General features: G+C 53.2%; 4 annotated features.

The window, feature by feature from the left end:
• Positions 1,850–2,379: an enhancer, noted in NCBI's record as "NANOG-H3K4me1 hESC enhancer chr17:77843521-77844050 (GRCh37/hg19 assembly coordinates)". NCBI's record gives its function as "activates a minimal SCP1, AML or CMV promoter by ChIP-STARR-seq in primed H9 embryonic stem cells {active_cell/tissue: H9 hESC(primed)}" and the evidence as "EXISTENCE:reporter gene assay evidence [ECO:0000049][PMID:30033119]".
• Positions 2,380–2,907: an enhancer, noted in NCBI's record as "NANOG-H3K4me1 hESC enhancer chr17:77842993-77843520 (GRCh37/hg19 assembly coordinates)". NCBI's record gives its function as "activates a minimal SCP1, AML or CMV promoter by ChIP-STARR-seq in primed H9 embryonic stem cells {active_cell/tissue: H9 hESC(primed)}" and the evidence as "EXISTENCE:reporter gene assay evidence [ECO:0000049][PMID:30033119]".
• Positions 4,902–5,011: an enhancer, noted in NCBI's record as "active region_12924". NCBI's record gives its function as "activates an Ori minimal core promoter by ATAC-STARR-seq in GM12878 lymphoblastoid cells {active_cell/tissue: GM12878}" and the evidence as "EXISTENCE:reporter gene assay evidence [ECO:0000049][PMID:35858748]".
• Positions 20,669–21,868: an enhancer, noted in NCBI's record as "BRD4-independent group 4 enhancer chr17:77824032-77825231 (GRCh37/hg19 assembly coordinates)". NCBI's record gives its function as "activates an origin of replication core promoter dependent on BRD2, P300/CBP, MED14 and CDK7 cofactors, and independent of BRD4, by STARR-seq in HCT116 cells {active_cell/tissue: HCT116}" and the evidence as "EXISTENCE:reporter gene assay evidence [ECO:0000049][PMID:35650434]".

Raw genomic sequence — 27,033 nt, 5'->3', positions numbered from 1 at the left:
AAGGCAGCTGTGCTGTGGTGGGGCTGGAATCAAAAGCCAGAGGCAGATGGGCACGTTTTCATCCTCCCTGCATCTTCCAGGGTGTGGACTTCGGCAAAGACTTCACATAGAAGTCCCCAAATCTGAGGAGGTTTTAGAAATATGAATCTGAGATTCCACCCAGGCCTGTTCAAGAACGGCTCCCTGCAAGCAGCATCCTGGTGTTTCTATTCGAACCAGACACCAGGTGTTAAGCCAGCCAGCCACATACCCATTTTGGGGGGTTCCCAACCGTAACCCTCCGAGCGTCTGTTTCTCCCCCCTGTGAAATGGGAGAAAATGCAGTAAAGGAAGGCCAGGGTGTGAAAGGGGCTCACAAGGTGAAAAGCGGGGATCACCGAGGCCGGTGGGGTTCCGCCTTGAACCCCACTCCTCCTCCGGGCTCCTGGTCCCCCTGGGCTCTCTCTGCCTCCTCCCCAATGGCTTCAGGCTCGGTTGGTGTGGGGACTGTCCATGCCCCAACCCCTCTTTCCTTCCAGTGGGCGGCCTTCCCTGGGTACACGTTAGGCCCCACTCCAGCTGGTGGTGGGACTGGTGAGCTTGGAGGAAGGAGCCCCCTGACTCAGCCCCTCCCTCTGCGAGATGAGGCACCTGCACAGTGCACACGGCTTCTGCAAGTATGTGAAACAGGTGCCTCCCCCGGGCTGGCCCAGCAGGCAGAATCTGCGGAGCCTAGTGCAAAATGAGAGTGTGGGGCCCCTTGTTCAAAATGTGCGGAGGGCGTCAGGACAGCAACAGCAGAGAATGGAACCGAGGCAAGGCCTGCACCAGGCCCGAGGGGCGGAGGCTGCGGCGGCCCAGCTCACCAGCTTGCGGGAAGCCTGACTCCTTCAGGAGTGAGCTACCCACCAAGCCCCTTCCCGAAGACCCCGCGCGTCCTCCAAGCAGGCGTGTCTCCAGACCCAGGCTGCCATCGTAAGCTGCACTTGTCTGAGCCTGCATGTCCCTCCTTCTTCAGCCTGAGTGGGACAAAGGGGAGCTGCTTCTGAACACACCTTCAACCCCATCAGTCTGCAAGGAGACTTCTAGAAACATGCAGTCCAGGAAGCAAGGCCTCCTCCAGATCCTACCCAGATCCCTCTTGCTGCAGTGGGGCCTCTACTCTGTCCAACGTGGCAGATGGGCACATTCTCTTCCCTCCTGTAGCGCCTTGGGTCTGAGCCCTTCCCGGCCTCCCCAGCTCAGCCTGAATCCACCTCCCACCCACTGCTCAGGCCCAAAGCAACGGTGCTGCCCCCAGAGCCCTCCCGTCCTGGCCTCTCACGCCTGGCTCTGGGCCGCTGCGGTGCTGGCTTGGCTGGTCTCCTGCTCCTCACTTACCCCGAGAACCCCTTTCCCAGCAGAGCAGCCAACGTGGTCTGGCTCCGAGGACTTAGCAAACCCGTCACGGCGGAACACAGCTTAATTCAGGGCCCTGGATTAAAAACCCCGGGCTGCTGCAGCCGGTCCAAGATGTGTGGCCCCAGATGACAGGGCCCAGTCTCCTGTGTCCCAGGTTGGCCCCTGGCTGGAGCTGAACTTTGTGGCTACTCTGTCTCCCAGGCTAATGAAGGCCCTTCCTGCCCTGGGCCCCCAAGGTTGAGACTCCCCGGGGTCCCCAGGCCTGTGCCCAAGGGGAGAGGGTGGGACGGGCAGGGGCTCACGGAGTTGACCCCTCCACCTGCCTCTTCAGGAGTTGCTGGGGAAGGAGGAGGCTTGGCCTCCAGATGCCACCAGGCCCTTGGGAGGGGCCCACCCAGTCAGTGCTTCTCCCGAGACCTCCAACCTCAGAAAAGGGACGGGCACCTCCTTGAAGGAGGGGGGCGAGGGAGGGAAAAAGGAGGGGAAGTGGGAGGAGGAAGGGCAGGTGGAGGAGGTCTAGGGGTCACCTCTCTGCCACCTTTCCCAGGGTGAGCCACGTGATGGGGTCTCAGAAACCAGCGCTTCAGGGGAAGTGTCAGGAGCAGGCTTTCTGCCTTGGAATCTCCAAGTGCCTATTTGAATGCAAAGTCCCGGACCTTTCTGACCCACTCAGTATCTACCTCTCTGCCAGGGATCTGTGGGTACATCTATGTCTAAGAACCTTGCTGAGGCCAGGCGTGGTGGCTCATGCCTGTAAGCTCAGCACTTTGGGAGGCCAAGGCAGGAAGATCACTTGAGGTCAGGAGTTCCAGACCAGCCTGGCCAACGTGGTGAAAACCCATCTCTACTAAAAATACAAAGAAAAATTACAGGTGTCCTGGCGCACACCTGTAATCCCAGCTACTCCGGAGGCTGAGGCAGGAGAATCACTTGAACCCAGGAAGCAGAGGTTGTGGTGAGCTGAGATCACGCCACTGCACTCCAGCCTGGGTGACAGAGTGAGACTCCATCTCAAAAAACAAACAAACAAAAAAACCTTGCTGAGGACCAGAGGGAAAAGGATGGCAGGGGGTGGGGTGGTCTGGGAGAGGCAGGAGAGCTGGGAGACTGAGCAACCAATTCCAGAGCTTTCCAAAGGCCCCGCCCCATTCCCAAGCCAGCACTTAATCCTCCACCCCTGCTACTTAACCTCTCCCACCAGGGACTGGGGCACTTTAACTCCTTTTAAATAAGCCCTGAGGGCTCAGAAGACACCGTTGCCAGCAATTCAAAAGCTCAGAACCCCAAGGGCAGTCAGGGGCTTTTCATCAGCTGCGGTGGGGTCCAGAGGCCCAGGCCTGTTATCCTGGGGAAGGGCCTCTAGGGAGGGGGCATCCCAGGGAGGGGGCTCTCTGGGGAGGGTGCGTGGTCACAGCCTCTTGGGCTACGCTTGCTGTCCTGGCTTAGCGTCCTTCTGATTCTCTTGCATCCAAGCAAAGGGGACCCCAGTGAGGCAGATCTGGACCCCAAACCTCTTCCTGGCTCAGAAATCCTGGACAGTTGTTCAGCCTGAAGCTCCTCTTCCTTTTCTGCAAAATGGGGTCGCAGCTCTCGTGAGAGTGAAACGGACAATGACCACAAAACACCAGGCCTGGTGCCTGACAGGTAGGAGGGACACAGGGCTCAAGCCAGGAGTCACTGGATACCTATCCACGGCTGAGGAAGGAAAGGTGTGAGCCGGGACTCAGCCCTCCAGGTGTGAGCCGGCCGCCCGGATCCAGCAGCCTCCCAGGATCTGAAGCCACTCAGCACCAGAGGGGAGCATCACCAGGCAAAACACAGGCCGGTTACATTTGAATGTCAGACACACAGCAAATCGTCTTTTAGTATAAGTCCGTCCCAGATTTACATGGGAGGGTGTTATCTGAAATTCAAATTTACGTGGGTGTTTTATATTTTTATTTGCAAAATCTAGAAATCTTCACTGAAAGATGCCAAGCAGCTGGAGTTTGAGTTGGGGTTTTGGTTTTTCTCTTTTTTCTTTTCTTTTCTTTCTTTCTTTTCTTTTTTTTTTTTTTTTTTTTTGAGACAGTCTCACTCTGTTGCCCAGGTTGCAGTGCAATGGCATGAACACAGCTCACTGCATTCTCAATCTCCTGGGCTCAAGTGATCCTCCTGCCTCAGCCTCCCATGGAGCTGGGACCACAGGTGCATGCCACCACATCCGGCTAATATTTTTTATTTTTTGTAGAGATGGGGGTCTCACTTTGTTGCCCAGGCTGGTCTTAAACTCCCAGGCTCAAGTCATTCTCCCATCTCATCCTCCCAAAGTGCTGACATTACAGGTGCGAGCCACTGCACCACGGCTTTTGTTTTTTCAAATCACCTGATGAGAGGAGTCAAAAAATAAAAATACAAAGTTAAGTGAAAAGCAGGATATCATTATTTGTTTTTTGTTTTGTTTTTGAGAAGAAGTCTCCCTCTGTCACCCAGGCTGGAGTACAGTGGCACCATCTTGGCTCACTGCAACCTCCGCCTCCCTGGCTCAAGTGATTCTCTCACCTCAGCCTTCCTAGTAGCTGGGACCACAGACACATGCCACCATGCATGGCTAATTTTTTTGTATTTTTTAGTAGAGACAGGGTTTCACCATGTTGCCCAGGCTGGTCTCGAACTCCTGAGCTCAAGTGATCCATCTGCCTTGGCCTCCCAAAGTACTAGGATTACAGGTGTGAGCCACTGCGAGTGGCCAAATGATAATGTTTTTAAAATTTAATGTATTTAATGTATTCACATAGAGAGAACGACCCGGATATAGACACCAACCAAGCCTGAGATAGAGACAGAAGAAAGATTGGAAGGAAATCCCCAAAGCTTAACAGTGTCTGTCTCTGTGTCATAAGATTATAGGCAATTGGCCTTTCTCTCTCTTCCTTCTTTTTTCTCTCTCTCTCTTTTCTTTTCTTTTCTTTCTTTCTTTCTTTCTTTCTTTCTTTCTTTCTTTCTTTCTTTCTTTCTTCTTTCTTTCTTTCTCTTTCTTCTTTCTTTCTTTCTCTTTTTTCTTTCTTCCTCTTTCTTTTTTCCTTCCTTCCTTTCTTCCTTCTTCCCCTCTCTCTCTCCCTTCCTTTTTGAATTTTCCAGTAAATATGTATTTCTTTATGACAAAAAATATATTTAAAACCAATCACTAGGGGCCTGGTGCAGTGGCTCACGCCTGTAATCCCAGCACTTTGGGAGGCCAAGGTGGGTGAATCACTTGAGCTCAGGACTTTAAGCAGCCTGGGCAACATGGTGAAACCCTGTCTCTACGGAAAAAAATACAAAAATTAGCCAGGCATAGTGACGTGTGTCTGTAGTCACAGCTGCTCAGTGGGAGGATCACTTGAGCCTGGGAGGTGGAGGCTACAGTGAGCCGAGATCATGCCACAGCACTCCAACCCGGGTGACAGAGCAAGACCTTGTCTAAAAATAAAAAAATAAAAAAAAAAATCAAAACAATCACTAACATGGCGAGTCTTGTTAAAATGTGGTTGCACTGTTCAGGAGTGGCCGAGTGAAACGAGGAAAGCCTCAGGCCTCGCCTCCTGTCCTTGCAGGACCCCAGGAGGGCAGCTTCCCTAGCTGCACCCATGGGTTATCCTTTCTCTGGTGCATCTGAGGCACTGGCTTCAATAGTGCCTCAGGACTGAGCCCAGGTGGTGGTGACTTCAGGATCTTGGGAACAGGCCGGGGGCCCCCACTGTGCTTCCGGACCCAGCCCCACCCAGGTTATGCTTTTGAGTTCCTGCACTTGGTTTTGTTTTTATAGTTTTCAGTTTCCTCCTCACTGTCAACTGTTGCTACTCCCTGCTATCTGCATGCCTGTCCCTAACAGTCATGCTCACTTCTACATCTCCCTTCTCATCCTCCGTGAACCAACAAAAAGGCTGTGTGGTTCTTAAGATTGTGTGTGGGGCCGGGAGAAGGGGCTCACTCCTGTAATCCCAGCACTTTGGGAGGCCGGAGTGGACGAGTCACCTGAAGTCAGGAGTTCGAGACCAGCCTGACCAACATGGAGAAACCCCGTCTGCACTAAAAATACACAAATTAAGCCAGGCACGGTGACTCACACATGTAATCCCAGCACTTTGGGAGGCCGAGGTGGGCGGATCACGAGGTCAGGAGATCGAGACCATCCTGGCTAACACAGTGAAACCCCGTCTCTACTAAAAATACGAAAAATTAGCCGGGTGTGGTGGCGGGCGCCTGTAGTCCCAGCTACTTGGGAGGCTGAGGCAGGAGAATGCCGTGAACCCGGGAGGCGGAGCTTGAAGTGAGCCGAGATCACGCCACTGCACTCCAGCCTGGGTGACAGAGCAAGACTCTGTCTCAAAACAAACAAACAAACAAAACCCGACACACCCCATCATGGAACTGGAGGCCTGGGACTTGAATGAAGGTTACAGGACAAAAGGACTGGAGGTGACCAAGGTTAAAAGACGTATCAGTGAGGGCTCAGGTGCAGAAAACAGAAGGCACTTTGGCTCCTTGTGGCAGAAATGAAATAAGAAGCTCAGAAAAATCACTGGAAAAGCTGGAGAAGCAGGCTGCACCTCGAGCCTCCAAAACGGTTCCCAGGATGCCACCAAACTGGCCCGCCAAAATGCCATGCCTCTGCCACATCAGGACGGTGGAGCATCTGGGGACCATTAGCTCCGGAGCACCCGGTAGACCCACGGGTCAGCAAGCGGCCAGGACCTACCACATCTGCTGGATTCATCCTGGCCAAAAAATAGACAGCCTTCCCCCTTCCTCTCAGCACCCACGGAGCCAGCAGCTGGCCCCTGGAACATGGCCCAGCACGTCCACCACCAAGCCTGCCGAGGAGACGTTGGGATCCTCTGCATCACTTCCCATTTCCCAGGCAAGGAAGTCTGAGAAATGCACCTTCCAGCCTTCTCCGTGGAGGGTGAGGGGGAAGGAGAGCCATCAAGTGCCAGCCCATCCATCCCACAGGACAGAGACAGAATCAGACCACTCACCTGTTAGAAAACCTCCTTCAAGGGGCACTCGCACGGGGGACTCACGGTGGGGATGGTCTGAGGCTGGCTCTAGAACCTGCTTGCTGTGTGGTCTTGGCCACGTCACTTTAGACTTGAGTCTTACATGAGATAATTGCAGTGCTTTGTAAAACTGTAAAGCGGGGAAGCCCCTGCTGCTCCAGCAGTCACTCAATGCAAGCATCCTTTCCTTCCCTCTGCAGTGGGCATGGAAGCTGATTTTCACCCATGGCCTAACCAGGTTCCAGAGGGACAGGTGAGCCAACTCAGAGAGTAGACCCAGGCTCCAGGGAGATGCCACCCACAGATGGAATTGTCCTGGGTTGTAAAATTTGCAGGAATTTTGACAGCCAGTACTCTTCCTGTTGGCAGCTTGAAATTGGCCATGGTGGAAATAGTCACATCATAGGAACTGCATAATGATACAGATCAGGGCTATTTGTCCCCATGCCCCAGAGCTGACTATTAAACATTTATCAGCTTGCCATTGGTTAAGGCAATAGGATGGGTGAAATTTCTGGAAGGCTGTGACTTGGTGGCTGTCCCCACTAGCTGTAAATGAGGATCGCCTGGGGAGCACCAATCACATCCCAAAAGCGCAGACTCCCCGCCGCCCAGGCGAATTGACGAGAAGCTGGAGGAAGCAGAGGGATCGGGGCAGTAGCTATAGAGGGTGGAGGGATCACAGGAAGAGACCTGCCAGCACATGTTTGCTTGTGAGCGGAAAGTCCTTTGCCTGGGAGTCGCAGAGAGAAGAGGCAAGGGTGACGTCCCTGGGTGAGCCAGGAGAGAGGAGCTCCAGAGGCCACAGCAGGAGGAGGGAGGAGGCAGGGCAGAGCAAGGCAGGCTAGCAGGGAAGGTGCAGGAGTCGTCACCAGGACACGTATCGTTTTCTCTCTCTTTTTTTTTTCTTGAGACGAGTCTTGCTCTGTTGCCCAGGCTAGAGTCCAACGGCGCAATCTCGGCTCACTGCAACCTCCACCTCCTAGGTTCGAGCGATTCTCCTGGCACAGCCTCCTGAGTAGCTGGGATTACAGGCACCCACCACCATGCCTGGCTAATTTTTGTATTTTTAGTGGAGGCGGGGTTTCACCATGTTGGTCAGGATGGTCTTGAACTCCTGACCTCAGGTGATCCACCTGCCTCAGCCTACCAAAGTGCTGGGATTACAGGCGTGAGCCACCATGCCCGGCCGACACCTGTGGTTTTCAAAGAGGGGACAGTTTCAGCTGGAAGGGCTTGGGGGGCTGTTGCATTCAGGTTGGTGTCCGCTGTACCATCCTCTGAGCTCTCTTGCATCAGGATCCTCAAAGAAGAAATTCCTCTAATAGAACTTGTGACAGTTAGCGCAAGGCAGAGAAGCTCCACCCCCAGCTCAAGTCAAACAATGGGGGCGTTGTGCAGGAGGTCTTCCTGGCTTTATTATTTTTGGAAAAAAAAAAATGTACATGGTGATTGTAAACTAAATTTATTTTTTTTTATTTTATTTTTTGAGATGAAGTTTTCGCTCTTGTTGCCTAGGCTGGAGTGCGGTGGCATAATCTCGGCTCACTGCAACCTCCGCCTCCTGGGTTCAAGGGATTCTCCTGCCTCAGCCTCCCAAGTAGCTGGGATTACAGGCACACGCCACCATGCCCGGCTAATTTTTTTTTTTTTTTTTTTTTGCATTTTTAGTAGAGACAGGGTTTCACCATATTGGTCAGGCTGGTCTCAAACTCCTGACCTCAACTGATCCGCCCACCTCGGCCTCCCAAAGTGCTGGAATTACAGGTGTGAGCCACCGCACCCTGACAATAAACTAAATTTAAAATCACAAAAGAGGCCAGGCACAGTGGCTCATGCCTGTAATTCCAGCACTTTGGGAGGCCGAGGCGGGCAGATCACCTGAGGTCGGGCGCTCGAGACCAGCCTGGCCAACATGGTAAAACCTCATCTCTACTAAAAATACAAACATTAGCCAGGCATGGTGGCACGTGCCTGTAATCCAGCTAGTCGGGAGGCTGAGGCACGAGAATCGCTTGAACCTGGGAGGCGGAGTTTGCAGTGAGCCGAGATCACACCGCTGCACTCCAGCCTGGACGATACGGCAAGACTCTGTCTCGAATCAATAAATAAAATAAAATAAACCACAAAAGAGAAAGGAAGAAAATAAAACTCATCAGACGCCACTGCCCAGAGGTGATGACAATGGAGTGAGCATGCCTCCACGCACCTCTCTGCAAATTCACACCTTACAGAGTGTGATGGACCACCCTCCCCGGCATGCTCAGCTCAGACCTCTCTGTTGGCATCCTGGGACTCCAAACAGGCAGGGAGAGGAGAAGGGGAATTGGGCCACTTCAGCCCAACTGAACGAACAGCAGGCTCTCAGCCCCTGGACACGGGCCAGGCCAAGCCCTTGTCCTGAGCCACTGCTTTGTGGCCGCTTGCAGGTCTTCACCAGGAACAGGGTTAGGATGGGGCAGCCTCAGTCTCTGCAGGGTCTGCCCTGGCTGGCCGAGCCTCCCTGCTGAGCAGCCATTGCTCCCTAATCTCCAGCTGACCCTGCGTGCAGCCCCAGCCTCCCCTAGGAACACTGCGCAATGACCTTGTCTTTGGCTTTTCTGAAAAGACCACAGCCAGGGTGAGCACCCCCTCAGACCCCCTTCCCCTCCTAGCACTCCAGAGCAAGGCACCTGATCTGCCCTCCTTCCTGCCAGGCTCTGCACCTTTCCAAGGCAGACGCCCCCGCATCCAAACTCCTCGCACCCCCGGTTCCCCGTCATCTTCAATTCTTTTTATTCCAACTCTTGTCTCTTCTGTCCTGAAATACACACACCTCTGCTTGACCCCTGCCGCCCTCCCACCCAGCCCCTCACTCACCTCTCCTCTCTGACAGCCTGCATGACATGGCCAAGCGTCAGTCTTGCTGCCTGTGCATATGTGTGTGCATGTGTGTATTCGTGTGTGTGCCCACGTGCATGCACGTGTGTTTGCTGGTGTGTGTGTATTTATATGGGCATGTGTGTGTGTGTGTGTGCATGAATCCGACCCCAACCCTCCATAACTTCCTGTCTGCTCTTTTCTGTCTATGAAACTTCTCTGTCCAAGTTCCCCTCCTCAGTCCCTGGGGCCCATCTCCGACCCACCCTTGGGTCTCCCTGACCCTCCCCCCGTCTTTAAGCCTGTGATTGCTGTGGCCTCTGGGACCGTCTCCCTGGCCTCCATCCATCTCTTCCATGGCTGCCCTTCCTCAGATATTCCCCCGGGAACTGCCCCTGACCTCCTGCACCTCCTTCCTCTGCTTTTTGCAGAGAGTGACCCAATCTATAGCTCCAGCACATTCCAGACTCCTAACAACAGCACCAAGCAGCAACAGGAAGTCCAAGGGCTTACTGTCCTCCCCAAACTCAGCCTCCTCGGGCTCTGGAGGTGGGCCATGTAAGGCCCCCTATACAGAGAGGAGCCTGAGATCCAGGACCACCCCCCACTGTGGCCAGGACTCCAGTGCAGGTGGCTTCTAACCACCCCGTTCACAGCCTTCCCCTCTGGCCACGGCTGGCTGCCCACAGAGCATCCTCCTGGCTGTCCAGGCCACTGCAACCCCACCTGGTGACCTTTCTGCTCAGCCAGCATCACCTCCTTCTGCCGGGCACGCTGTGCTCCCCGGCTGGCTCCCAGAGTCTGTGGCCACTCGCCACGCCATCACATCGACTCAGGTGTTGATGCTGCTGCAATCGCCTGCTCCTGTCTGCCTGCTCCTGTGCACCCCAGCCCCTGCTGCTGCCTAATCTCCCGAAAACGCTGGCAAGAGTCGAGCGCTGATTGCATCACTTGTCAAGTGTGGGTTTCAGCTCGGCTGTGGTCCACGTCGGGCGAGCTCCAATAAATCCTTTGGAATTCTGAAGACCATTATCCCTGAAAATGTGTGTGTGCTCACCGATCCTGGCTGCACAGCTGGATTTCAGGAACAGCCTGCTGAGGCTTGAAGGTGCCCCAAGAGCAGGGTCAGCTGGGGGGATTCTCTTATTGCTCACAGGGCCGAGCCCAGGGGAGGGGGCTGTATGAGTTCCTGGGGCTGCCGTCACAAATAACCAACACGAGTTGGTTTCAACAATGGAAGTTTATTGTCTTGGGCTCCTGGAGGCCAGAGTCCAAAATCCAGGTGGCAATAGGGCCAGGCTCGCCTTGAGGATCTGGGGTCAAATCTTTCCTGCCTCTTCGGCTTCCGGTGGCTGCCGGCAACCCGTGGTACACCTTAGCTGTGGCTGCCTCCCTCCCATCTCAGCCTTCATCTTCATTTGGCCTTTTGGCCTTCCTCCCTCTCTGTCCAAGTTTTTCTCTTTTTGTAAGGACACTAGTTTTGGCCAGGCGTGGTGGCTCACATCTGTAATCCCAGCACTTTGGGAGGCCGAGGCAGGTGGATCACCTGAGGTCAGGAGTTCGAGACCAGCCTGGCCAACATGGTGAAACCCTGTCTCTACTTAAAACACAAAAATTAGCTGGGTGTGGTGGCAGGTGCCTGTAGTCCCAGCTACTCGGGAGGCTGAGGCACGAGAATTGCTTGAACCTGGGAGATGGAGGTTGCAGTAAGCTGGCATCGCGCCACTGCACTCCAGCCTGGGTGACAGAGTAAGACTCGGTCTCAAAAAAAAAAAAAAGACATCAGTTTTATTGAATTAAGGGCCCACCCTAATCCCGTATGACCTAATCTCAATTTGATTTTACATCTGCAAAGACCCTATTTCTAAACAAGGTCACATTCTGAGGTCCTGGGTGGACATGAATGTGGGGGCAGGGGGCACTCTATTCCACCTCCCGGCGCCATCCCAGCAACAAAATGACAAGGCTTGCAGAAGCAGCCTGGAAAAGCCCCAGCAAAGCCAAGGGATGGGAGGATCGGGACGCTGAGGCCAGGGAATGGGACTTGCTAAACACGACTGAAGGGAGGAGGAAGAGAAGGAAGAGAGGGACAGAGGGATGCAGACAAGAGGAGGAACGGCTGGGGTAGGTGGACACCCTGGAGCAGAGTCTGTGGCTGGTGGCAGGAGGTCAGAGCCAACAGGACGGCCCTGAAGATGGCATGACCCCCACCAGCCCCTGTCTCCACCGCAGAGGGATTTCGCATTCCAATCCCAGGCCTCTGCTGCAGCACGGAAGGCCCCACGCGGAGCCCCGGCCCTTCACATCTCACCGAGCAGCTGACGGCACCGAGGCCGCCCCGGCTGGGCCACCAGCCCCGCGAGAAGCACATGCGCAGACCCGTCCTCAAGGACGCAGCCCCCGTAATTACCCTCAGCTGCCAGAGCATGGTATCCACTTAAATGATAAACAGGCTCAGGCGGGAGGCCACCCCGCCCGCTGCTCTGGTGGCAGGCCACAGACACCTCAGAGGGGCAGCCGCGGTCCCGCTGACATCAGCGGCTTCACTGCCTGTAACCAAAGCGTGGACGGGCACGAGGGAAGAAGCAGCCTCCCCCAGAGGAAACCCAAGCCCCAGCTGCGCCTGCCAGCCAGCCTCCAGGCCAGCCAGCCTCCAGGCCAGCCAGCCTCCAGGCCAGTGCTAAACTGCCGTCTCCTGGGATGGGAGCCTTTGCAGTGGCCCCGGACTAGCAGATGACACATTATTGATGTGACCTTCCAGATCCAGGGACCCAACACCACAGCCCCTCCAGGTGCCTGCAAAGGCCACCTCCCATCCCGCCTCTGACCTCCTTTTCTAAGTCCACCTGGGGAGGCCTCCCCGGGAGGCAGGCTGGAGACCACGCTGTCTGTACTTTTTTGGGCCCAGATGAAGCCCCCTTGCCAGGTCTGGTGCCAGGCTTGCCACACTGGGCACATAAATGACCACATGACCACTGATACCAAGTCCAGCCACCGATGCTGCCTCAGGCCCCTACGACTGTGAGGGACATACCATAAAGCTCTAACCGGTCAGAGCCCAGAGGAATTTGCTCCACCTGGGATGTGAAAGTCACCCCATCCTGTCCCAGACGCTTACTGTCCACTGTGGGGGCCAAGAGCCACGTGTGCCTATGGGGCCCTTGGAATTCAGCGAGTCCCGGCGGAGAGGGGCTGTCAAGTACAAGATCCACACTGGATTTCCAAGACTTAGAACAACAATAATGACAATGTAAATATTTCATTGTATAATTTTTATACTTTTTTTTTTTTTGAGACCGAGTCTCCCTCTGTTGCCCAGGCTGGAGTGCAGTGGCGCGATCTTGGCTCACTGCAACCTCTGCCTCCTAGGTTCGAGCGATTCTCCTGCCTCAGCCTCCTGAGTATCTGGGATTACAGGCACCTGCCCCCATGCCCAGCTAATGCTGAGGTGGGAGGATGACTTGAGCCTAGGGGTCGAGGCTGCAGTGAGCTATCACACTATTGCACTCCAGCCTGGGAGAAAAGAGCAAGACTCTGCCTCAGAAAAGAAACGTGAGGGCTCCTGGGAAGAGCTAGGGTGCAGGTAAAGGGCTTCAAGCCCTACCTGGGATGTAGCTGAGCTCTGTACATGTCCTCCCCTCACTCCCTCCCCTGAAAGGGCAGGGGCACCACCTGAGCAGGCCAGGGCCCATAAGGAGGGTTGCAGGGAGGCTGCTCAGCTGCGATGGAGCTTCTCCGAGGGGAGCAGGGAAACAGGGAACAGACATGAGGCTGAAGAGGAAGTCCCAGGCAGGAGGCGGGTGCCAGGAGAAGGTCTCTGGTGCCCAGACAAGGGAACCGGGCAGCTTGAGAGGGAATGAGTGATAAGATGGGGCAGATCAGTGGAGGAAAGGTAGAGCTGTGGCACCCACCCCAATCCAGACACTCAGAGATGATGGCTGGACCCAGGGCAGGACTAGGAACAGCCACGGAGCTTTGTCCTTCCAGAAATTTCATGTGTGTTTAGCGGGGACTATGAGAGTTTTATTTATTTATTTATTTATTTATTTATTTATTTATTTATTTATTTTGAGGCGGAGTCTTGCTCTGTCACCCAGGCTGGAGTGCAGTGACCCCATCTAGGCTCACTGCAACCTCCATCTCCCAGGTTCAAGCGATTCTCCTGCCTCAGCCTCCCGAGTAGCTGGGATTACAGGTGCCCACCACCACACCTCACTAATTTTTGTATTTTTAGTAGAGGTGGGGTTTCACCAGGCTGGTCTCAAACTCCTGACCTCAAGTGATCCACCTGCCTTGGCCTCCCGAAGTGCCGGGATTACAGGTGTGAGCCACCGTGCCCGGCAAAGAGTTTTTATGTTATGTTTTATTTTGTTTTAGAAACAGTCTCCTTATGTTGCCCAGGCTGGTCTCAAACTCCTAGGCTCAAGCGATCCTCCCACCTCGGCCTCCCAAAGTGCTGGGATTACAGGCGTAAGCCACTGTGCCCAGTGAACTGCAGGGATTTTAATGGCACCATGCTGGGTCCATTGAGTGATCTGCTTGTTTCCCCATTGTATCTTGCACGTTCAGGGGCATTTTGATGATGAGATGGTTAATTTCATGTGTCAGCTTGACAGGGCTGAGTCTGCGAGGGTGTTTCCGAAAGTGGTTCCCACTTGGATTTGTAGACCGCACCTCACCAATGTAGGCAACATTAGCCAAGCCTCGAGGGCCTGAGTAGAACAGGAAGGCTGGGAGCAGGCTACTGCACTGGGTCTGCTTGACCTGGACCATCCACCTCCAGCTGCCCTCAGACACGAGAGCTCCTGCTTCTAGGGCCTTCAGACTCAGACTGAACATCATGGCTGGCTTCCCTGGTTCCCCACCTTGCAGATGGCTGGCCCTGCAACCTCTCAGCCTCCATAGTGTGTGAGCGAATTCCCACGGGGGTCCCCTCTTAGAGCCTCCATGTATCCTATCAGGTCTGTTTTTCCGGAGAGCCCTGGGCGAGCCCCAGCAGAGGCCAACAGCAGCTCCTGGGAGAGGAGTCCCCATTCTGTGTGTCCTCCCCACATTCTCAGGGCCAGGTCAGGGCCATGTGAGGTGTTCTTTCTTCTATAGCATGGATAACAGTGACGATTTCACATTGAATGGAGATTAAATGAGGAAACATCACAGCACCTGGCCCATAGTAGGTGCTCAGGAAATAATAAGAAAAGAATGTGAGGGTGGGCGCAGTGGCTCATGCCTGTAATCCCAGCACTTTGGGAGGCCGAGGCAGACAGATTACCTGAGGTCAGGAGTTCAAGACCAGTCTGGCCAACATGGCGAAACCCTGTCTCTACTAAAAATACAAAAATTAGCCAGGCGTGGTGGTGGGCACCTATAATCCCAGCTACTCAGGAGGCTGAGGCAGGAAAATTGCTTGAACCTGGGAGGTGGAAGTTGCAGTGAGCCAAGATCGAGCCACTGCACACCAGCTTGGGCGACAAACAGAGTGAGACTCTGTCTCACAAGAAAGAAAAGGATGCGGGACTTTTACACCAGGATCCAGGCTGGGCAGGCAGCCGAGCCGCACAGGGACAGGAAGAAACGAGGCCTCAGGGGCAAGCCCTGGCTCCATCCCAACCTGGAGAGCTTCAAACAGCAGAGATGGATTCTCTCCTGGTTCTGAAGTCCAGAAGTCCTAAATCAAGGTGTCATCAGGGCTGTGCTACCTGCAGAGTCCCCAGGAGGGACTCCTGCCTGGCGTTTCTGGGCCTGTGGCTGCATCGCTCCATCCTCTGCCTCCGTCTTCCCTGGCTTCTGCTTCAGATGCCAGGAGAATGTCCCTGCGTGTCCTCCCCTCTTCAGTCTCTTCTACCATTGGATTCAGGACCCACTCCAATCCAGGGCGATCTCCTCTCAAGATCTGCACCTTAATCACATCTACAAAGACCCTTGTTCCAAATAAGTCACATTCTGACGTTCCAGGTAGACAAATATTTGGGGGAGGCAAGTATTCAATGCATTAGGATTCGCCCTGTGGCTCCCAAAATCCACACTGTCCCACTCTTTACAAATATCCACCCCTCATGCCCTCTTGCTCATTGCTCAACTCTCTGGGCCTCAGTTTCCTCTGCAAAGCTGAGGATAATTAGGACAACCTCATGCAGTGTTTGTGCGGATAAGATAGGAATGTGTTCACCAGGCGCTCAGCTCAGTCCAGTGTTTGGTGAACGAGCCGCCTAAAGGCAGTCCTCAGCCCACACTACCTGCACCAGCTTCTATCTTCTAAAACTGCAAACCCTGAGACTGGGCACAGTGGCTTACATCTGTAATTCCAGACCTTTGAGAGGCAGAGGCAGGAGGATCACTTGAGGCCAGGAGTTTGAGACCAGCCTGGGCAACATGGTGAGACCCGTCTCCAGAAAACACACACACACACACACACACACACACACACACACACACACACAGAGTAAATTCTGAGACAATGGGGACTTGTGTCTGTTTAATTCACTCCAAATCGCACTGCACTTCCCCCACCACCCCCGAGGACTCATCAGGGTCAGGGAATGGAAGAGAAGCGGGGGGAGCTGCTGTCCAGCTCGAAGTGAGAGGGCCCAGGGCACGTGCCCAGGGCTGGCAACCCTGGGTTTGCGTCCGAGCTCTGCTGCCACTTTGCACAAAAGTCACAGCTTCAGTTTCCCCCTCTGAAGTGGGGGCATAAGACGCTCCTCTCAAAATGAGGTACAGGCTGTGTGATCACAACACGCTGCCATCCTGACCACATGGCCCAGGTGGGTTTCCAGCCATCGACACAATCCAGCCGGTGGCTCCCCAGGAGCTGGATGGCACCCTGGTTCCTCTCTTGTGGTCCCCTTGACCCCTCACCTTGCTGCCCAGAACTGCCCAGCCGAGCCTCCCAAGCTGTGTGTCCAAGGCGGGCACCGGGTGGGCGTTAAAATCTCCTCTTCACACGCAGTGAGCCAAAGGCCCCAAGTACACAGCGCACACCCCCACATCCCGACTCTGCTTCTCAGAGAGGACCCTGCCCCCAGCAGTGTTTGTGCTCAGCTCCAATCCCGGTGCCTCCACCAAGCCCAGCCTTTCTATCTGCACTGAGGACTTCCTGGGAATAAACAGACCCAGCAGAGGGTCAACCCTGAACTAAGGACCAAAGCCTTCCGATGCCTATTCCCCAGGGTCACCATCAAGGCTGGCGGGGAGTGAGGGGCACCAATGGGTTAGCAGTGGCAGCACTGGGGCCCCAAGTCCCGAGGGCCCCAGGGCTCTGTGGCCCCAGATGTCCACCTCCTCCAGCTCTGGAACCTTTGGCTGGACTACACGTAACACCTACTGCCCCAGAGACGCGGCAGCGTGTGCAGCTCAGTCCAGCTGGCAGGGAGCAGAGCCAGGCCTTGGAGAGGATTTACCCCGACAGGCTCCAACCCATGAGCCTTGGTCCAGGATCCCCACCCGCTCTGCCAACAGGGCAGTGTGCTCAGGCATCCTGGCCTGGGCTTGGCTGCCCCGGGTGTTTCTCTGTCCTAATAGCGATAATAACAACAATAAAAATAACAGTAATAGCTTCCATGTGTTGTGCACTCACTCTCGCTGGATACAGTGCTAAGTGCTTTGCCTATTAATCCAGTTAACCTCCGTGACCACCAACCACTTCATCATGAGCCTCGATTTCAGGATGGAGAAACTGAGGCACAGGGGGGTGAAATCAGTTGCTCAAGGTCAAAGAGTGAATAAATGGCCCAGCCAGAACACAGAGCTATGCAACCTGGCTGCCGGCATCTCCGTCTTCGGCCTTCGAGTCTTTAAATTCACACTCCTTTGAGGGAGACATGTTGCTTCTACATTGCCTCGAAGAAGCTGACCTGTTGCAGGAGAACGCCCTCTGGGGAGGGCAGTGGCATGGTGGCTCTCTACCCCCAGTCCCTGCTGATCCCACAGCTCCTCCTCTAGTCCCAGGAATTGCCCTGTGGCCCCAGGGTCTGGGTCTGACCCCGTTATCTGGTCCCCCCACTTCCTTGCTTAAAACCTCCAAAGCTTTGCCATAACAATGAGACTCAAGTCCAAACTCCGAGTCACAGACACTCAGGCAAACTGCCTTCCTCCTTCTTCAGTCTGCCATCTGACCCCACTCCCCCAGCCCACGCTGCCCACTGCTCCTGCCTTCCTTCTGGTCCTCAAACACACTCAGGAGGTGCCTACCTCAGGGCCTTGGCACCTGCTGTCCCAGCTCCTCCCCAACCTAGAGATGACAAGCCACACACTCCTTCCTCAGTGAGCCTTCCCTGACCACTAAACCTAAAGCGTGCTTTCTGCAAACACACTTAAAAAATAAACTTAAAAAAGGACAATTCTTTCCCAGCAGCAAGAGGAGAGTCAGGGCCAGGGTTAGATCAGCCCCTCCTTGGGTTGAGCAGATATAGATGGTGGCAGCATAGACATGGTCAGTCCCTAAACAGCTGGGAGAATGGAGAGCAGGCAGCAGCATCAGGCAACCCCAAGGATAACGGGGCATGCGTCCAGGGGCATGTGGCCCTCAGCCTTTGGACAATGCCTAGGGGCTTGGAGCTCTGGGCATGCGTGCAGCCCACAGGAAGGAACACCTTGTCCCAGAAGTATGAGCTAAAGATACTGTCCCAAAAGGCCAAGGTCACCATCCTCAGGACTGGGCTGCACCTTTCGTCATGACCCTGTCGAACACGCTGTGGTCCCTGCCCTACTGACACCTGGTTCTTACCACTTGCGCCCTTGGCCTGGTCAGGCCTCCTGTCTCCTAGCCTTCTTTGGGGTTGGCTATCTATGGAGTTGAATTAATTCCCTCAGCCCTGCCTAATTAAACATCTCTCATTTGTTTACAGTAATCTAAATGCCTCCTCTGGGCTGGTGCTTGTATGAGATGCTAGTAAATGTTTAGCATTAACAATTGGCTCTCTGAAAAAAAGAAATGTATGCATGCATGTATATTTATTTATTTATTTATTTATTTATTGTAAATATTACTGATAGGCAGGGCGCGGTGGCTCACACCTGTAATCCCAGCACTTTGGGAGGCCAAGGTGGGAGGATCACTTAAGGTCAGGAGTTTGAGACCAGCCTGGCCAATATGGTGAAACCCTATCTCTACTAAAAATACAAAAAATTAGCCAGGCATGGTGGTGAGTGCCTGTAATCCCACCTAATGGGAGGCTGAGACAGGAGAATCGCTTGAACCCAGGAGGTGGAGGATGCCCTGAACAAAGATCGCACCACTGCACTCCAGCCTGGGCGACAGAGCGAGACTCCGTTCTTAAAATATTTTTTTTTCATAAATAAATAAATATTACAGATATAAAGGATGCATAGCACGCCATTCACAAATAATAAAATAGGCCAGTCACGGTGACTCACGGCTGTAATCCCATCACTTTGGGAGGCCGAGGCGGGCAGATCACCTGAGGTCAGGAGTTCAAGACCAGCCTGACCAACACGGAGAAACCCCGTCTCTGCTAACAATACAAAATTAGCCAGGCATGGTGGCATATGCCGGTATTCCCAGCTACTCAGGAGGCTGAGACGGGAGAATCACTTGAACCTGGCAGGCAGAGGTTGCAGTGAGCTGAGATCACACCGTTGCACTCCAGCCTGGGCAGCAAGAGGGAAACTCCATCTCAAAAAAATAAAATAAAATAAATAAACAAATAATAAAATAGAAGATACTCTTCATTGTAAGCTCCATATACTGATGGATTCACAGAAGGTTTTTGTTGCTTTTTTGCCAAACTCTGGGATCAGTTGCCAGCCCAGGCTTGCCTTTGATAAATGAGTGTGGTTCTGACTTGAATGGCTGTGGGTATTTTCATTTAAGTTAACCAGTAAAACGAAAGTGAAACAACGAAGGAATAGGTCAAACTTCTCGTTCATAATGATGTCAGGAACTTCTTTCATAAATCAGGGAATAGTTTTTTAATACTACTTCCTCCATTCCTGTGCTCTTAGGAACATAATGGGCTGGGTGTGGTGGCTCATGCCTGTAGTCCCACCACTTTGAGAGACCGAGGCCACTGGATCACTTGAGCCCAGGAGTTTGAGACCAGCCTGGACAACACAGCAAAAACCCGTCTGTACTAAAAAATACAAAAATATTAGCCAGGCATGGAAGTGCACGCTTGTAGTCCCAGCTAATTGGGAGGCTGAGGTGGGAGGATTGCTTGAGCCCGAGAGTTGCAGATCACAGTGAGCCAAAATTTTGCCGCTGCCCTCCAGCCTGGGTGACACAGTGAGACCCTGTATAAAAAAAAAAAAGAAAAAAAGAAGAAGAAGAAGAAAAGAAGGAACAAAAGAACATAATGGCTACAAACAGGACACACTTTTTTGTTTGTTTTGTTTTGTTTTTTGAGATGGAGTCTCGCTATTGTCACCCAGGCTGGAGTGCAGTGGTGCAATCTGGGCTCACTGCAACCTCCGCCTCCTGGGTTCAAGCAATTCTCCTGCCTCAGCCTCCTGAGTAGCTGGGATTACAGGCGCCCGCTACCACGCTACCACACCCGGCTAATTTTTGTATTTGTAGTAGAGACGGGGTTTCACCATGTTGACCAGGCTGGTCTCGAACTCCTGACCTCAAGTGATCTGCCCGCCTTGGCCTCCCAAAGTGCTGGGATTGCAGGCGTGAGCCATCGTGCCCAGCCAACAGGACACACTTTTAAGTTTAATCTGCATGATTAACACTTTTTCATCACTTTCTTTTTTTTTTTTCTATCACTTTCTAAAGTATAGACAATCAACAAAAGAAAAAATCAAGTCACGATTTGTCGTGTTTACCAATTTCTGTTGAGTAAAAGCTCCAGCCATAGCTGGCTTCAAGCTACCATTAGGACAGCGCTGAAGGCAGAATTGGGCCGAGATGTGCAGCAGCAGCTGCCCCTGCGTGGCGTTTTCCACCACACACAGGGGACACAAAGAACCCGGGAACATGTGAATCTGAGGAAATCACTAGGAAGGAGTCAGTAGTGAGCATTTATTATTGTTGTTCTTTACATAATTTAATTGTAAATGCCAATCATTTAATTTGTAATCATGGCTGGGTTCAACAACGGGTTCACAAAATGTCTGAGAATGTGGCCAACGGCTCTTGCCAGCCCGTACGGGTGGACCAGCTTCATCTGGCTGTGTGAGCTCACTCGGTCCTCACACAAATCCTATTAATTCAACATTCATCTGACAGGTACGTGCTGGGCACTGTGCCAGATGCCAGGGACACGTCGGACAAGGGTGTGGACACGCCCCGACGCTTGCAGCTCTTATGTTCCAACAGGAGATGCAGGCTGGAAACACCATCAACATCCAGAGGATACTGTCTGTAAGGAGGTGAGGGTGCTATGTAAGCAGGAATAAGGAGATTGGGAGTGTTGGTGGGGACAGGGCTGGGACCGTAGTGATCAGGTGGTCAGGGCCAGCTCATTACAAAGATGACATTTGAGTAAAGACTTGAGTGAAAAAGAACCATGCAGTTATTGGAGAAAGAACATTCCAAGTGGTGGCTACAGTCAGTTCAAAGGCCCTGAGGCAACACCAAGTCAGTGTTTGAGGATTAGTGGAGGAGCCCGTGTGCCCAGAACAGAGTGTATAAGGGAGAGAGGGGTGGAAAAGAAAGCCAGGAGGTCACGGGGACACATGAGGCAGGGCCTTGGATGTCAGAGGACTTCTTAGGGTGTTGAGCCTAGAAAGTCTCCTCTCCCCTTTGCAGATGAATACACTGGTGCTCGGAGTCACGCCGGTGGCCGGCGGGAGAGCGGGGAGAAGCCTGGGTCCGTCTGGCTCTTACCACACCATGCTCCTGCTTCCACATGGCAGAGGGACAGTCAGCAGGTGTGCAGCGCCCCAGCTCCTACTTGTCTCAACAGTCCTAACTGGCCATGGCCAAGAGTTCTGTCAGGTCAGTCCCCGTGGATCTGGACCTCTGCCTGGGTGGCTCACGGGGCAAGCTGGGAGGAACAGAGACTCTACTAGGTATTAGGACCCAAGGCCCATAGAGGCTCCCACACGAAGCTGAAGACAAGGCTGTCTAGGACAAGTAGATGAGTCACATCTAGTCTGACACGCAAGTCACTGGGGTGCACCCCACTTGCAGGGGCATTCCTCCCACATGAGTAAGTTGCTCAGCTGCTGGTGACCTGGGGAGGTGCAACCTTAATGGGATGAAGAGGAAAAGGGGCTGGGTGTGGTGGCTCATGCCTATAATCCCAGCACTCTGGGAGGCCGAGGCGGGCAGATCACCTGAGGCCAGGAGTTCGAGAACAGCCTGGGCAACATGGTGAAACCCCTTCTCTACTAAAAATACAAAAAAAAAAAAATTTAGCTGGGCATGTGGTGCACGCTTGTAATCCCAGCTACTCAGAAGGCTAAGGCAGGAGAATTGCTCGAACCTGGGAGGCGGAGGTTGCAGTGAGCCAAGACTGTGCCACTGCACTCCAGCCTGAGTGACAGAGGGAGTCTCTGTCTCAAAAAAAGAAAAAAAAAAAAGGAAAAGAAAGGGTGCGTGTAGTGTAGCTGGGAGGAGGGTGACCGAGCATGCAAACACCACTACTGGGGCACCCCAGCAGGCTTGGGGACTGATGAGGCCTCAGCTCAGAAAGCCTGCTCCAGGCCCCTCCTCCTCCGCCCTCAGCCACGTGAGCCTGCTCATCCTGACTACAGCTGGACACCTGACCCTGGGGCCACCACTAGTTTCCCCCAACAGGGATGACGAGGATTAACGGGACAGCTCTCAGCCTGGGAGGACTCTGGTTGCTGGAATGAGCTGGTCTGTTGGGGGAGGGGGCACTGGAAGCCAAAGGACCCAGAGGGAAGCAGAAACGAGACAGGAGCCAAATCACAGCCACGGAAAGCCAGCAGAGACCAGTGAGCTGCCAGAGGAGGGGACAGGGCCTGTCACATGGGACCTGCACAGACCCATGGGGCCCTGAGATCAGAATGGCCCCAGGTGGGTGGCATGGTCCAACACCTTGAAATTGTTAATAATTATTAATCAAGGAGCCCCACATTTTCATTTTGCCCTGTGAAGCGAAAGGCCCCACCACCCTTGTCTGGGGCTCACAGGGAATTGGGAAACTCTCACGAGGGGGTCCCTCCAGGCAGAGTCCTCTGGATAAAAAAGGGACAGGTTCTGGGGAGCTGGGATGTTCTTTGTGTCACCTTGAGTCATAAGCCGGGGTAGAAGTGAGGGAGGAAAGAAACCTTTCTTAGTTTTCTTAGGTTTCAGACCCATGTGCCTTCGGGACGGGTGGGGATGCTGGTGGGTTCTGTCTTGGGAGCCCATTGCTCATTCTCCCAGATATTTCTGCCCAGCTAGGGTCCTGCCTGTGGGCCTCTGGGCCGTGCGAGGAGGACCAGAGCCTGGCTGTTTTGAAATAGACAATTATGGCCAGTTGGACCAGCCTGTTCAATACTCTATTGACAAGTTCACCTTGGCAACCTGGAGCCTGGCTCCTCTGTGAGTGATTCTACCTCCTGGTGTCCCTTTGGTCTTAAAGACATATCTCCACCCTCTCCCAGACTGTGCATGACCCCCGACGAAGGGACCAGGCCATGCATGCACCAGCAGAAGGTGCAGGGACTCCTCCCCGCCCAACTCTCAGCCCCACTGCCACTCTGCAGTGAGGGAGTCTCCTCCTCTGTGCCTCACCCTCAGTCCCAGGACCTGACGATAAAGCTCGTTTACCTGGGGCAGGGGTTGCAGAGGTAGATGATGTATTTCATCCCTAGTCTGCTCTGGAGGGTGGGATATACAAACCCTCAGGTCCAGCGACACCTCTGCAGGATTGGAGGGTCTGAGCTGAGGGGAAATCACGGACGTGCATCACCCCTAATCAGACTGCTAATGAGCGACATGAAAAATGATGGCGGTACAATCTATGTCGCCCTGGAGCAGCCTGCGCCAGCTCGGCAGGCTGCGTCCGTCAACACTGACCTTTCCTTTCTGGAAAACCAGAGCTGCCCCAGAGCTGGGACTTGTCCTCCAGGACACACACAGGTGCCACAGCAGAACACAGTGTTTCTTGGTAATTCCTGCGACGTGCACATCAGAAGGCAGATGTGGCTCCCCTGGGTCAGGCTGAGAAGCAAGTGAGACATTGTCAGGGGCCAAGTTGCCCTTGGTCCAATTGCTTAACACCTCTAGCATTGCGTCTGCACCCATCTGTCCGTCTGCCTGCCTGCCAGGGCCTATCTGGGGAAAGAAGGCAGAAGTCAGGCTTAGTGCAAATGAGAACGTATCTTTGCCCGTGGGTAACCAAGAAGAAGATGAAAAAGTGACATCAGCAGAGTGTGGGAGTGAGCTATCCTCAGATCGCTCCGTGTACATACAGCTGTGGCTGTTTTTCAAAATTCCGAGAAAGACTTCTCTCCCACCTAGGCTTCTGTGGCAGTATTTTCTCTGGTTTTGTGCAATAGTTATCGGCTTCTATGGTACTAACTCTTGGTCTCCAGGCTAAAAAGATAAACCCCAGTCATCCCCAATAGCTTCAAAAAGAGAAGGGTCCTTTCTCTGTGGCAGTTCATCCATAAGATCCTGCCATTTCGTTAGAATCAAAAGACTAGTTTCAAGCAAGGGGTTGGGGGTGGAGGACATGGGTCTATTTCTGAACCTTCCGATCTGAATGAGTCAAAGAATACAAAATCACCCCATTATCATCATTACTGTCAAATCATAGGGCAATCAACTCCCTGACACAGGCCAGATGGACATCCGGGAGAAATCCATAGTACTGGAGCTGGTTCAGAGCCCCACGGAATTAACTCGGAATAAAACCACGAGAGAAAGGTAGGCTTGTGTGTTTATTCCCCCTTCTCCCTGTTACTTTGACATGCTCTTTGTTTTAGTCAAATAAACAGAAGCCAGCATTCAATAGTGAGGAGAAGTGGCCCAAGGTTGTCCTCGTGTCCCAGGGCACAGGGGCAGGTGGACTCTGGGCCACCACGGCCATCAGTCTAGGGCCAACAGCTGATTTCACTGAAGGCGTCCACAAGGAAGCTGGTGGTCCTGACTTGTGAGGTCTCCTCAGAGGTGCCATTCTTGAAACCTCCCCCAGAAGCGGGACTGCACCCTCACTTTCATGGACCCCTTCCTCCATAGAAAGTTATTTAAAATTACATTGTATAGGCTGGGCGCAGTGGCTCACGCCTGTAATACCAGCACTTTGGGAGGCTGCAGGAATCACCTGAGGTCAGGAGTTGGAGACCAGCCTGGCCAACATGGCGAAACCCCGTCTCTACTGAAAATACAAAAAAAAAATTAGCCAGGTGTGGTGGTGGATGCCTGTAATCCCAGCTACTTGGGAGGCTGAGGCAGGAGAATCACTTGAGCCTGGGAGGCGGAGGTTGCAATGAGCCAAGACTGCACCATTGCACTCCAGCCTGGGTGACAAGAATGAAAGTCCGTGCCCAAAAAAATAAAATAAAATAAGTAGAATTACATTTTATAGCTTTGTTGGGATGAACACATTAATATTATATATTAAAATATTCTGGGTTTTGGCTGGGCGCAGTGGCTCACACCTGTAATCCTAGCACTTTGGGAGGCCAAGGCGGGCAGATCGCTTGAGGTCAGGAGTTCGAGACCAGGCTGGCCAACATGGCGAAATCCTGTCTTTACTAAAAATACAAAAACCAGCTGGGCAGGGTGGCGCATGCCTGTAGTCCCAGCTACTTGGGGGCCTGAGGCAGGAGAATTGCTTGAACCCAAGAGGGGGAGGTTGCAGAGAGGAGAGATCATGTCACTGCACTCTAGCCTAGGCGACAGAGCGAGACTCCATCTCAAAAATAAATAAATAAAAATTTAAAAAAAAATAGTCTTGTTTTTTTGAGACAGGGTCTTGTCCTGTCACCAGGCTGGACATGCAGTGGCATGATTTCGGCTCCCTGCAACCTCCACCTCTTGGGCTCAAGAGATCCTTCCACCTCAGCCTCCCAAGCAGCTGGGACTACAGGTTTGCACCACCATGCCCAGCTAATTTTCATATTTTGTTTAGAGATGGGGGTTTCCTCATGTTGCCCAGGCTGGCCTTGAACTCAAGGATGAGTTCAACTCATGGATGAGCTCAAGCAATCAACGGGCTTCGGTGTCCCAAAGTGCTGGGATTAAAGGCATGAGCCACTGTGCCCAGCCAGTTTCTTCTGATTTTAAAATAAATTATATATACACACAATGGAATATTATTCAGCCTTTAAAAGAATGGAAATTCCCTGGAGATATTGGCTTAAAGAAAAAGGATGGGTGGGCCGGGCACGGTGGCTCACGCATGTAATCCCAGCACTTTGGGAGGCTGAGGCGGGCGGATCACCTGAGGTTGGGAGTTCGAGATCAGCCTGACCAACATGGAGAAACCCCGTCTCTACTAAAAATTCAAAATTAGCTGGGCGTAGTGGCGCATGCCTGTAATCCCAGCTACCCAGGAGGCTGAGGCAGGAGAATCGTTTGAACCCGGGAGGCAGAAGTTTCCGTGAGCTGAGATCGCACCATTGCACTCCAGCCTGGGCAACGAGCAAAACTCCACCTCAAAAAACAAAAAAAGAAAAAAGAGAGAGGATGGAACTTCTGACTCCTGCTACAGCATGGATGAACCTTGATGACATTGTGCTGAGTGAAATAAGCCAGTCACAATGGACAAATTCTGTGTGAGTTCACTCAGATGAGGTCCCCAGAGTAGTCAAATTCATAGAGACAGAAGGTAGAATGCAGGCTGCCAGGGTCTAAGAGAGGGAGCTGGTGTTTAATGAAGACAGAGTTTCAGTTTGGGAAGATGAAAAAGTTCTAGCAGTTGTGATGGTCCCACTACAACATGAATGTGCATATGCCACTGAATTGAGCCTGAAAATTGGTTAAAATGGTTCATTTCATGTTATATGTATTTTACCACAATTTTTAAAATAAACAATTCTTTTTTACTAGAACATTTTCATGGGCCCTGCACGGAGCCTCCTGGGCCTGATGGAGAGGGGCCCCACCCAGAAGAGCACAGGGCTGGCCCCACCCCTGCACCACACATGCCCTTTATCAACTGAACACTCCCACAGCCACACGGACAGGATTCCTTCCAGTCTGTGTCTGTCTGAGCCCAGAAAAAGAGGAAATACTGAGCTCTAGCTGGAGCTTCATCCAGCGATGATAAATAATCTCGTGCTCCAATTCAGCTCCCATCCTCTCAAGGGCATGGTCGCCACCGGAGGTCTAGGTCTTGGGGCCCCTTCCCCCGACCTGGGGTATCTCTTAGGGCTTTAGTGTCCTCAATTAGCAACCCAGGGGAAGCACAGAAGTGTCTGGGCTCTGTTAAGAGGCGGCTTTATCAGCCAGGCGAACATTTTTTTCAGAGAACCTCAGTTTAGGGGAAGCAGTTCCTGGCGGGGCTTTGGTTCCAGGCTCTCCCCCTCCAGGGACACTCATTCCTAAGGGGAGCAGGCTGGGCTGTCTGGGAACATTTGCCCTGTAATATCAGTTTGCTTCTTATTGGTCCTTTGATAGCAGAACAAGAGGCTCTGTGATCCTCTGGACCTCAGATTTCCTTTTAAACTCTCAAATAAAAAGATATGTGTGTGCTGCTCGTGTGGACTTCCCGCTGGGAGTGGAAGGGCCCCGAGCACGAGGCCCGCGTCGGGGACAATAGCCCGCACCCCTGGGGCCTGTTCCGTGCTCAGGGCGCAGGGGCTCCCAAGGTTCAAAGTCCCCTGGAGCGGGTTGTTTCTGGCTACGAAAGCAGCAGCCCGGCCGCCGTGGGGAGGGGGAAGGGACGGGGTGTGCAGGAGGCGGGGGTGCGGG

The sequence above is a fragment of the Homo sapiens genome, chromosome 17 (assembly GCF_000001405.40).
Source record: "Homo sapiens chromosome 17, GRCh38.p14 Primary Assembly".
In the NCBI taxonomy this organism is placed as follows: domain Eukaryota; kingdom Metazoa; phylum Chordata; class Mammalia; order Primates; family Hominidae; genus Homo; species Homo sapiens.
The sequence above is the reverse complement of the archived record's forward strand: the minus strand, read 5'-3'. Positions and strand labels throughout refer to the sequence as shown.